The sequence below is a fragment of the Homo sapiens genome, chromosome 7, assembly GCF_000001405.40.
Source record: "Homo sapiens chromosome 7, GRCh38.p14 Primary Assembly".
NCBI classification, from domain to species: Eukaryota; Metazoa; Chordata; class Mammalia; order Primates; family Hominidae; genus Homo; species Homo sapiens.
The window spans coordinates 17,878,867-17,891,009 of NC_000007.14; the positions used below are offsets into that span (position 1 = coordinate 17,878,867).

The 12,143-nt window shown below is 35.3% G+C and overlaps 1 protein-coding gene across 16 annotated transcripts in view; it reads right to left on the reverse strand.

Moving 5' to 3' along the window:
* SNX13 (sorting nexin 13) overlaps window positions 1-12,143 on the reverse strand; it is a 149,734-nt gene that overhangs the window by 88,106 nt on the left and 49,485 nt on the right. For 10 of the 16 annotated variants that reach the window (NR_146932.2, NR_146933.2, NM_001350863.2 and 7 more), the window contains exon 5: window positions 11,497-11,618. Coding sequence is in view for 11 of the 16 variants with exons in the window: in NM_001350863.2 (NP_001337792.1) it covers window positions 11,497-11,618 (122 nt within the window). In the remaining 5 variants the exon portion in view is untranslated. Of the gene's footprint in view, window positions 1-563; window positions 4,078-9,693; window positions 9,923-11,496; window positions 11,619-12,143 lie in introns of those variants that run through there. The other 6 variants (NM_001350864.2, XM_047420074.1, NM_001350867.2 and 3 more) reach the window with 5 other exon arrangements.

Below are 12,143 nucleotides of genomic sequence, written 5' to 3' on the forward strand. Positions count from 1 at the left end.
TACTCTCAGTGCCTCTGGACAGACTATTCCCTCTACCAAATTTGCTTGGCATTGCCTACTCTCCATAAATTTTCCTTCTCTCCCCCCATTCACTTGACAATTCCCACTTACACATTAAAGTTCATCTAAAATGTCAATTCCACATGCCAACCTTCACTGACCCCCACCCTCTCCACTATTCCTTCAGACTAGGCCCTGTCTCCAGTTATGCATTCTGATAATACCAAACTTTCCACTTTTTATAGCTCTTACAACCTACAGTTGAATTATTTGCTGTTAGAACATTAATCTCAGTAAGGCACAGATTGACTGTGTCTGTTTTTTTGTTTGTTCATTTTGTTTGTTCTTTTTCAATAGAGTCTCGCTATGTTGTCCAGGCTGGAATGCCATGACTCTTCACATGCATATTCACAGTGCAGCCTCAAACTGCTGGGCTCAAGTGATCCTCCTACCTCAGCCTTCTGAGTAGCTGGGAGTACAGGCACATAGCACTGCACTCAGCCAACTGTGTTTGTTTTATTCATAGCTGTATCCCCCAAGGAAAAGTAATGATTCAAACATTATTAGAGGCACTCAATGCATATTGATTTATTGATTCCTTTTTCAGGGTCGGAGCACTGTTTACAATGGGTGTTTGGACAATGGCAACAGGAGGCACAAACAACAATTGCTTCCTTACTCCTTAAAGTGTTAAAGTAGAATATGTACTGAGAAGCTCTTTTTGTCCCATGGCTACTTAATGCCAATCCCTTAAAAAGGCAAGTAAAGGCCCAAATATGTGGTTGAGTTTAGGATTGTAAATTGCCTCACTTGTTCCATCTATTCTAAGCAGTGTACAGCTCATCATCAGTAGCACAAAACACTACCAAAATCAAGTATTTCTGGAAAACGCACTGGACTGACACAGATGCCTTTGATTCTAACAAAAGACTCCCCCAAATGATGGGTCTTTTACTCAAATCAAAGGCATCAGTGCCAGTCTATGAAATTCAGCAAGTCACATCATTTCCCAAAGTTTGTTTTCTCTAACAACACTCATTACATCTTTGAGTCTATGATTATATTAGCTACATAAAACCACACATATACATACACAGGGATGGAGTGTATAAAAAACTGGTAATTGGGCAGTAGGTAAATTTAAACATTCGATCAAAAGAGGGAGCCATGAATATATTTCACTTTAAGTTCAATTATATAAATCTTCCTGTGTAGGAATAAGACTTTTTCTTTGGTTAAGGCTCTGCTGAGTGGTATTAACATGACCTGGGTCTTGAAAAAACTATGAACTGTTCCTACACTGCAAAACCTATGGTTTCCAGTTTCTTTAAAATGGCATGGCAATAAAGACATTTGTGAACAAATCTGCATGCAGAGTCCTTGAAGACTTTCAAATTTCATAGCTGCCTTTCGCTCACTTAATTCAATTACACTCTTCAACCAGCTGCGAGTAATTCCAAAGCAAGTGACTTGGTTTTCATAGAAACTACCTTGTCATATTCATATTTCTTCAATCTAAGTTGACTGTTAATTAAACGACCTGATTATCATAAAAAGTGTAACTGGGATATTTAGGCTCAAAAACAAATACAACTTTTATTTCAACGTGTTTGATTATCTGTCTCCTCTAAATCACCAATATTCAGGTCACACTACAGACTAATTGTATCAGATTTTCTGGAGGTGGGGTCCAGGTATCACACAACTGACTTTTGATAAGCATACAACTCCAAGGGTGGAAACAGAAGTGGATAGATGTAATAGAGCCTAGTCTTAATGCTAAGGTTATCAGTCAGTACAGCATACAAAGGGAATGGAGAGCACTGGCTAACCAAACATCAGTTAAGAGAACTTTCACTGCAATAGCACAGAATAGGAACCATTTCAAAATCAGCTTAAAATTTTGTTGACGAGAACCACACACACAAAGACTATAGATTAAGGAATATGTCATAATTTAAAGAGGCTTCATTAAAGAGGCTACACTTAAATCTTGATGAAAGAGCAGTATTTATATGGGAGAAGAAAGGACACAGGAATGAGCAGAAGAGGGGGATGAGCATGATAAATATATATGCAAGGGTCATCTTGTAGACTTGCCTGACTAGAGGAGAGGGTGATCGCTTGGCAGTAAAGGCGATCTTCACATTCATGGCAGAATATTTTCCTGGAAAAGGTGCCTTATGTCAAAATGATAAAAGTAAAAGCTGCTTTTTCCACAGAAAACAATCCTATAATAAATGTTATGCTCCTGATGCCACATTAGTTTTTCAGAGAAATGACTACGAAGACCTTTTTTAAAAACAGTAAGAATGGTAGAGTATACTATATACTGCATAATGTGTAGGTATACATAGACACTATATGTACAACACACACACACACACACACACACAGAGGTCCATAGAATCTTAGTATTTTAGAACTGAAAGGAATCTCAAGGGAAAAGGTATATACATATACACATACACAAACACACACACACACACGCACGTTAAGAGTTGGCCTTTTTAAAGGTATGTTAATAAGATCAATATAATAACCAATCACATAAAATTATAATAATATGTATTAATCTTCAACAAAAGGTCTTTATCTTCTATGTAAAAAAAATAGAAATTTTTGAAAAATCATTAAAATAGAATTCCTAGTTTTCTTGGGTAGATTTTTGACAAGTAACTTTGAGTAGATTTTGAGAAAAGTTTTACTCCATTAGAAGGCCTTTTGATCAACTGACTCAGACTTTTTTTTGTTGAGAGAAAGCAACTGAGTGGCTTATCTGTGAAAGAAAAAAATTCCTTCTCCTGAGTCTCTGAATCAGATACTAAGTCCCCCTCTTAATTCACTATTAGAAAGGATATACTACTCTTCACTCTAAATACATAATCCTTTACTTGTTTCCATCCTTCAGAGTCCTTGAAGAACTACTTTGTTAACGGTGTCAAAAACTCAGGCTGAAATTGAATTTGGGTAAAATTGTAAAGGCACAGAATTGTAAGCTTCATTTTGAATCCACTAAATCAATCCCCCCTACGTCAATTCAGTCATAAATACTACATGTTACCATAACCATCTCTCCAGAGTCTCCTTTTATCATCCACTTTAAGGATTTAGTTGTCAGTATTGATTAAAATAATGAAACTAATTTGACCTTCTTCACAAACATTCCTGAACTTAAAGTTAATGTATGAGTACCCCCTACCATAGTCCTCAAAAATATACGGGGAATTCTTTCATAGGAGCTAAATTAGCAACCACACAAGGAAATACAACTCATTACTTCAGGTTTACAAATCTGCCTCTGCCCCCTCTTCACTTAGCTGTATCCTCTCCAACTGTGAGCTGGAGTAGGCAAACAATTGTGTACATCTCTTCCTATTTCCATGTTCAGTGACTTCATGCTGATAGCTTAAAACTGAACGTGGTGGGAGAACTTACACTTCAGAAAACTTAAAAAAAATCAAACTCATAACACTACAGATTTATTGTTTTCAGCATTCTATAAAGAACAGCAATAGTCTGGTTGTACAAAAACTTTTTATTTCATTGATACAAGGGTTTTAATCATCGAGAAGAGATTAGTAAATGTATTTTATGTTTAGAATCAAGCATTCTTTCTGATCATTTAGAAATATATTAAAAGGTTTAAATAAATTTTGTTATCCTACTATAAGACCCCTACTAATAAAACAATAGATATGAAGAGTACTTTAATCCCAAAGTAAATTAACTCTAATTAGCAATCCTATATACTTAAAAAAAAATAACTCCCCAAATGGTATTCAAAATGTGGAGTGTGATGGAGTATGTTAGTGTGTGTTTTGGGAGGAAACATGATTGAAAAGAAATCAAGATTAGTAACAACCTGACCAGAGAATCTTACTATTTTAGAACTGAAAGGGTTCTCAAATCACTACCACAATTCCCTGTAATTTCAGAGCCAGAATTTAAATTACATATTCTAGGAGACACAGTGAGACCAAGGTTTTGTTAAACAAAACAGGGTTCCAGGAAGCGGAGGTTGCAGTGAGCCGAGATTGCGCCATTGTACTCCAGCCTGGGCGACAGGGCGAGACTCTGTCTCAAAAACAAAAACAAAAACAAAAACAAACAGGGTTCTTAACTTTCAGTTCAGTGTTCTTTCTACTCTACCATAACAAGAAAACAAAACATCCTGATTCATAGAAGTAATAAGCAAATTGGTGGAAACGAACTTAGGCATGCAGTTTTATATGACTGTATTAAAGGAAATGGTATTTAGTGAGCTATAACACTGCTTAAGAAGTGCAGTCCTATATCCTATATTTCAATGCTTCAAAGAGATTCCAATATCCAGATGTTCTGAAGGACTTAGATCTCAGAAAATAGTAAAAAATTTACACAGAAGTACACACATAAAGTATAGTCATCATTTCAGGAGTACAAAAAACAAGACGTGAACACCTTAGTTAAGATAAAATACAGGAAAAAACATAACATGGGGCTAAGTGCACATCTTCTTAAGTATGTTAAAGTATAGAAAATTAAACTCATGATGTTAACTACTTTAGTAAACAGGAGTATTAATAAAACTACTAAAACTAAGATATAAGTCCTTCAGAACATCTGGACATTTCTTCTATAGTGAAATGTCTATTCAAATTATTTCCCCATTTTTTAATTAGGTTACTTGTCATTTTATTATTGAGTGTGCTGTTGCTTTTTTTAATACATACTTTTAATTCTGGGATACATGTGCTGAATGTGCACGTTTGTTACACAGGTATACACGTGCCATGGTGGCTTGCTGCACCCATCAACCTGTCACCTACATTAGGTACTTATCCTAATGCTATCCCTCCCCTTGCCCCTCACCCCCCAAGAGGCCCCGGTGTGTGATGTTCCCCTCCCTGTGTCCATGTGTTCTCATCGTTCTCATCTCATCACGCCACTCATGGGTGAGAACATACGGTGTTTGGTTTTCTGTTCTTGTGTTAGTTTGCTGAGAATGATGGTTTCCAGCTTCATCCATGTCCCTGCAAAGGACATGTACTCTGCTTGTTTTTATAAATATAGTTTTATTGGACAGTTATGCTCATTTATTTGCATTTTGTCCGTAGCTGCTTTTGTGCTACAATGGCAGAATTTACTAGCTGTGACAGAAATGATGTGGCCTACAAATCCTAAAATCGTTGCTGTTTGGCTCTTTAGAAAAAAGTTTGCTGATTCCTGCAACAGACAGTTTTATAGCCATTAAAATATATAAGAAGAATTATAAATATATAGAAAATAGAATCACAACTATACAAAGTAGCATATGCTGTATGATTTTTAGCTATATAAAAATTGTGACTATGTATGCACAGCTAAGACATTAAAAGGAAATACACTAAAACATTAACAGTGATCTTTGGATTGTGGGTCTATGGCTGAAAATAGCTAATTCAGAAAATCTAAAGAAGAAAATTACATTTTACAAAATAGGTGTATATTACTTTACAGCCAGAAACAGAAACATTTGGTTGTCAGTAATAAAGATACCTAAGATGACTTTTTAAAAAGTTAATTTATTTGCCATTTTTCTTTTCTATTCTTTGTGTTCTTATGAACGAAAACATAAGAATTGTTTTTTCAACTATAGATAACAATTTTGTATAGGCAGCCACTATCTGGAAACAAATTCTTACTACCATGGTTTGTACACGATGGAACAGTAAATACCCAATAAATTATTGTTAATAGAGTTCCCACTTGTGACTTCCATGTTTTTTCCACACATTTTAATATGCTCCCATTGGGTCTATGAACATTTCATTTTTCATAGACACTGGGAAAAAAGTATGATTGAAAACAAACCATCTATCTGTAGAACAAATCACATATCTATAGAAAATATACAAATGACCAATAAGCACATGAAAAGATGCTCGATATCACTAGCTATCAGGGAAATGCAGATTCAAACGATAATGTAATACTACTTCACACTCACTAAGATGGTAACAAAAAGACAGACAATAATAACTTAAGTGTTGGTCAAAGAGGAGCCTTCATACACTGCTGGTGGAAACGTAACAAAATACAGCCACTATGAAAAAGTTTGCAGTTCCTCAAAAGACTGATCATACAATCCAGAAATTATATTCCTAGGTATATATCCAAGAGAAATGGAAACATTTGTCCCTCAAAAACTTGTACATGAATACTCATAGTAGCATTATTCATATGATTCAAAGACTAGAAACAACCTAAATGCCCATTTACTGATGAAAAACAAATGTGGTATGTGTTCAACGGAATATTATTCAGCAATAAAAAAGAATAAGCACTAATTTATGCCACAACATGAATGAACCTTGAAAACATAATGTTAAGTAAAAGAAACAGGAAAAAAGACCACATATATTATTTCATTCATATAAAATGCTCAGAATAGGCAAATCCATAGAGACAAAAAAAAAAAAAAAAGATTAGTGGTTACCTAGAGCTAGAAGCTTGGGGAAACGCAGAAGTGACTGACAATGGATATAAGGTTTCTTTGTGAAGTCATTAAAATGTTCTTAAATTTATTGTGATGAAAGCTGTACAATGCTTAACTAAAGCTACTGACTTTAAGTGGGTGAACTGTATAGTTTGTGAATTGTATCAGTTAATAATGAACTATTACCCCAGGTCTATTCTACAGATTATAAAAACGTTAGGCTGGGTGTGGTGGCTCACACCTGTAATCCCAGCACTTTGGGAGGCTGAGGCCAGTGGATTGCCTGAGCTCAGGAGCTCCAGACCAGCCTAGGCAATGTGGTGAAACCCCGTCTCTACTAGAATACAAAAAATTAGCCGGGAGTGGCAGCGTGCACCTGTAATCCCAGCTACTCAGGAATCTGAGACAGGAGAATCGCTTGAACCTGTGAGGCGGAAACTGCAGTGAGCCGAGATCGTGCCACTGCACTCCAGCCTAGGTGACAGAACAAGAGTCTGCCTCAAAACAAAAACAAAAAACATTAACTATTTCCCCTTCTTTTAAATATTTAGATAAAATTTCTAATTTTAAATTAGTTTCTAATTGTTTTTGCTGTACTGTAATAAATATAATAACTGTCTTTCCAAGTAATGTCAGTTTTTACCCAAATTTCATATAGCAAAGAATATAAAATGGTAAAACAAAAAAAAGGATAAAACTTTGTTGCAAATGTCCACTATTTGAGTTTTGTTTGCCTTTTAACAAGTGTAGGGATATACCATTTATTTTCATTATTTCTATGGCAAAAGGTAGTAAGAAAATTGGTAAAACTTCAAGAACACATTCCCTATCATTCCCTGTGATACTATATCATTAGTATCACAGCCAGCGAATCCTGAAACCTATGTATCTATCCCTCCTCCCTCTACAGGAAGATCCTTCAGTTAGGAACACAGTGGCATTAGCATATACCTACTTTCGCTGGGGGGCACAGTGACTCACGCCTGTAATCCCAGCACTTTGGGAGGCTGAGGGGGGCGGATCACAAGGTCAGGAGTTCGAGGCCAGCCTGACCAACATGGTGAAACCCCGTCTCTACTAAAAATACAAAAATTAGTCGGGTGTAGTGGCGTGCGCTTATAATATCAGCTACTAAGGAGGCTGGGGCAGAAGAATTGCTTGAACCTGGGATGCAGAGGTTGCAGTGAGCCGAGATCGTGCCACTGCTCTCCACCGATCATGCCACTGCACTCCAGCCTGGGTGACAGAGTGAGACTCCGTCTCAAAAAAAAAAAGAATATATTATGTACTTTCTGCTAATCTTGGGTTAAGGGGAACAATGATGGAGGGATTTACCACCCACACTTCACTTTCAAGATCAACAACAAGGTTGCTTGTTATAGTTTCTACTACACTATCCTTATCTTCTTTTTTAGAAATTTGCTCATACTATTCTTATTTCCTAACATGTCCTTCCTCTCTATCTATCCAAATAACCCATTCTTGAAAACCAGTTTTGGTCTCAACTCCGTTCAGGTCTTCATCAGCTACTGTGGTTCACTCTATCGCTACATGACAAACCGCTCTCAATACCACAGAAATGATTGTTTTATTTCTCTATGTTTCATGTGCCTTAATTTTGCCCTCTCCACCTCCCTTGCTCTACAAAAAAAAAAAAAAAAGAGCTAAGACAGGGTCAAAGAATCTGTGTACACAACCTAGGAACATAATAGCAACAATAATAACAGAGAAGTTAACTTTACTGAACACTTACTATGTGCCAGCTTATAGAGGCACAGAGTCAAGTGATTTGCTAAAAATGTCATTTACTGGTTGGCAAATACTTTACTAAATGTTTCACCCACATCATCTCATTTTCCCCTTACAACTCTAAGTTTGCTACAAGAATTACTATTACTATTTTACAGAGACATTAAAAATTTTCTTTTCGATACACTAAAACTTAACAGTAGAGATAGAATTATAGATTTTCTGACACAGGCCAAGGCTGTCTGCATCACACTATAATATCTTATTTAGAGGGTGAATAAAAATACATGGGTTATCCAGGATTCATTCCCTAAGGCTCCCGTCTAATCCACACCCAAATTCCACAGAGAAGGAGAACTCAAGGGTGCTGGAGGAAAGTTTCCTTCCCCAAGCTGGTACTGGAATAACAAGTACTAATACTAAATAAGATGTTATGACTACAAAGCACTCTCCCACACATGATGTCATTTAATCCTAACAACCACCTCATAAGGAGATATAAGTTATCATCTCCAGACAAAAAATGTATGTGTTTTGTCCACTCAAGGCCAAGAGCTTAAGAAGTAATAGAGCTAAGCTCAAATCAACAGCTTCGGACTCAAAACATACATTATTTTCTTCCCATCTTTCAAAATTAAGCACTTCATTTTACAGTGACATTCTCTAATTGTTTCTCAAAGTTGATGAATAAATACAAACACTAGAAATCATGGGTTCTAAACATTTTCTGAGTTCATGACCCTTTAAAGAAATCAAACCTATGAAACCACTGGATAGGAAAAAAAAAAAAACCACAGTTTTTTTCCAGGTTTGTGGGCCCCTGTTAAGAGCCCTATAAAGGACTGTAAGTTAAAGAATAGAGGTGATAGTTTTTGCTGCTATCATATGTTTCACAGTATACAGCAGACAGCACAGAATAAGGCTTTCTGAAGTATATGAATGATTGTAAACAGACTAATCTTCCTGATATTGGCACCGGAAGTCATGGAGCCTCTAGTAAGTCATATATTTGTGTAGTAATAGAAAAAGGGAATGTAGGAAAGTCATTAACAGAGAAGGAACAAACCAACAATTAATGAGTTTTACTGCACGCTAAGAACTTTATTTGATACCATTTTTTAGCCTCAAAGCAGCCTCTAAAGTAGTTATTATCTGTATTGTTTTAATTTTCCAGAAATTTAAGGTAAATGGTCAAGCAAAGATATAAATTTAGATCAGTGTAGGATGGAAAAAACCTTGCTTTTTCACTAAGCTTGATAGCACTGAATGTTTTCAAAAGAAAAAAAAACTTAATACCTACAGTGAAAAGAAAGGTGACTAGGGGATCAAAAACAGGGAAAGTATTGCAATAACAGGAAAGAAGAGCAGGAAACTAAGATAAATAACCTAGATTATAAAATATTTAATTGGGTAGGAGAAAAAATACCAAACTTAAGAACAATTTGATTCTAACTCACTAGATAACATTAGACTAACCACTTTACCTTTCTGGACCTTAGCTTCCTCATCAGTAAAATTATGGGTGTTGGATGGCATAAAAACTTAAATTTCTAAATTCCTTCACAATTTTCAAAACACTGTCACAGGTATTTCATTTCACTCCACTGAGCAGGGACTTTGTTTTATTCACTGCTGTATCCCCAGCATCTGGTTGGTACAAAGTATGCCCAAAATATTAGTTGAATAAGATGAATTTTGATCCTGACAATTATCCTGAGAGGAACACAGAACAGGGCAGTTATTATTACACTTATTTTACATATGAGAAAAACCAAGGTTCAGAGTTTAAAGACACTTGCTCACAGTCCCATAGCTAGAGGTGGAGCTAGAATGCAAACTCAAGTTTTCAGATTACTAGTTCAAATCTCTTCCCAGGTCTAAAATGTGTTACACATTTTTATATATTTTTCAATAGTCAGGCACAAGAATAATGAATTCTTCCTATTCTCACCCTTTCAAAGAAAAAAAAAGTCATCAGGATAGTGTTGCTATAGAAAGCAATAAAAAATATTTAGAAGAGTTATCTGAAAGAATACCTAACACTCAATAATGGTGCATATGAAATAAAAGAGATTAAATTCAAATTCTGACTTTCTTTGATTATACCAATTATATGTTCTGTGTTCCACAGTGAGTCTGCATCTGTAATTCTGGCTGGCTACTTTGTAAATTCTTGCTCCTAATCACGAGGGATGAGGAGTACAAATCTATCTCTGTAACAATTATTGTTCAAATCATAAAACTTGTGCCAGGCTCCCCAATGAGGTTGGGAAACACATCCAATGCCCTTCCTCTAGCCAACTCCAAATCTAAAGCTTTATAATCAATGGAGATAGAGGAAAGGGCCTGAGAGGGCAGCATGGCTGGAAATACCTAGCAGGGCAATCTTTGCGTGTGATGGTAGCAACATATTTTAATGGAATAAAAAAAAAAAATCTACAAACTCATCCAAACATAAAATCTTTCTTTCAAAAATAAATAATTTCTAGAACACAAGTATTCCCTTTCACATAACGTTGCCCATTAAAAGGCTTTCAAAAAGTTAGACATCAAGGATGGAGGGGAAAAAAAGCCTTCAAAAATAAAAATGAAAGTAAACATAATTTAAACAGGTGTGAAATAGCCTCCCATCAAAAAAAATCAAGCAGTTTAAGTACAAGAATAGAAGTCAAAACACTTTCATCATATGGGAAGCAGTATATAGCTGGTTTGTAAAGTAAGAATTTTAGTATATCTGACAAAAAAAGTTTGTTAAAACAAACTCACCAAAATATACTTCTTTTCTGAAAAATATAAACTTGAATATTTTCCACTGACTTATGTTCCTTTGGTCCCTTCTCGTCCAAGAGGACTTCCAATAGATATGTGTCATAATTAGGAGAAGGGTTACAGCAAAACTATGTGGAGAAGAGCAGTTACACTGAAACTAATCTATTTTCATAGCACTCACATAAAACAGAGGGTCTAGGGAAGGGGGAGGGGGGAAGTAGCAATAAGTGGGGTAACAGATTTGAAAAGTCACCTGATTTGGACCCTAAAGAAAAAACTACCAAACAGACTTAGAAAGCAGGGCTTAATCAAAATAACATTCTGTAAAAACCTAAAATCTGGGGTAATTTAAAGGTTTTAAGAGCTCTAGTTGTAAAATCTTGGAGTTATCCCACAGTAATAATCTGCTGTTCTACTTACCTTTTAATAAACAATTCCTCCCCTTAAAAGTTGTTTTCCTTACTGGTACAAACCATACATCTAAATTTTTCTGCATAAATACAATGTCGTGTCCTTACCTAGTAGCAAACTGAATGAGTGCGTTTTGAAGAGTCTGCCTAATTTCAAGAAGAAAAGATTCATCATCGCTTAGTGTATAATACCAATACTGGACATAATCCCTCAAGGAAAACTGGATAACCTATAACAAAAATATTGGAAAAAAAATTACAACATTTTAGGATTTAAAAAGTTACAGTGGTAAACTAAAAAAGTATGCTGTATCTACCAATTTATATTTACTCTCTACGTATTAATTTATGGTGGTAAATACCTGCCCTCATTACAAAAACATCAACATACTAAAAACCATTTCAAACATTTTTAAATTATTCTGGTATCCCAACTTACCTACTGCCTAGATTTAAAAAAAAAAATAAAATAAAACACTATCTATGGCCAAGTCCCACATAAATCCAGGTAAAGACAGGGTTTGCAGAAAAAAAAGAAACTTTCCATGCTATAATCTAATAAATAATATCAATCAGTTTAATGGAATGAGATGTAAAATAATAGAGACTATAATTCCACAAAAAAAGTTTTTTTAAAGATTATATCATCAGATCCATTGCAGTCTAATTATAAAAATGATACAGGAGTTCACTTATTTCTACTAATACCTTTGATACTGCCAACAGTATTCAGACAATAAATAGTACATAATACA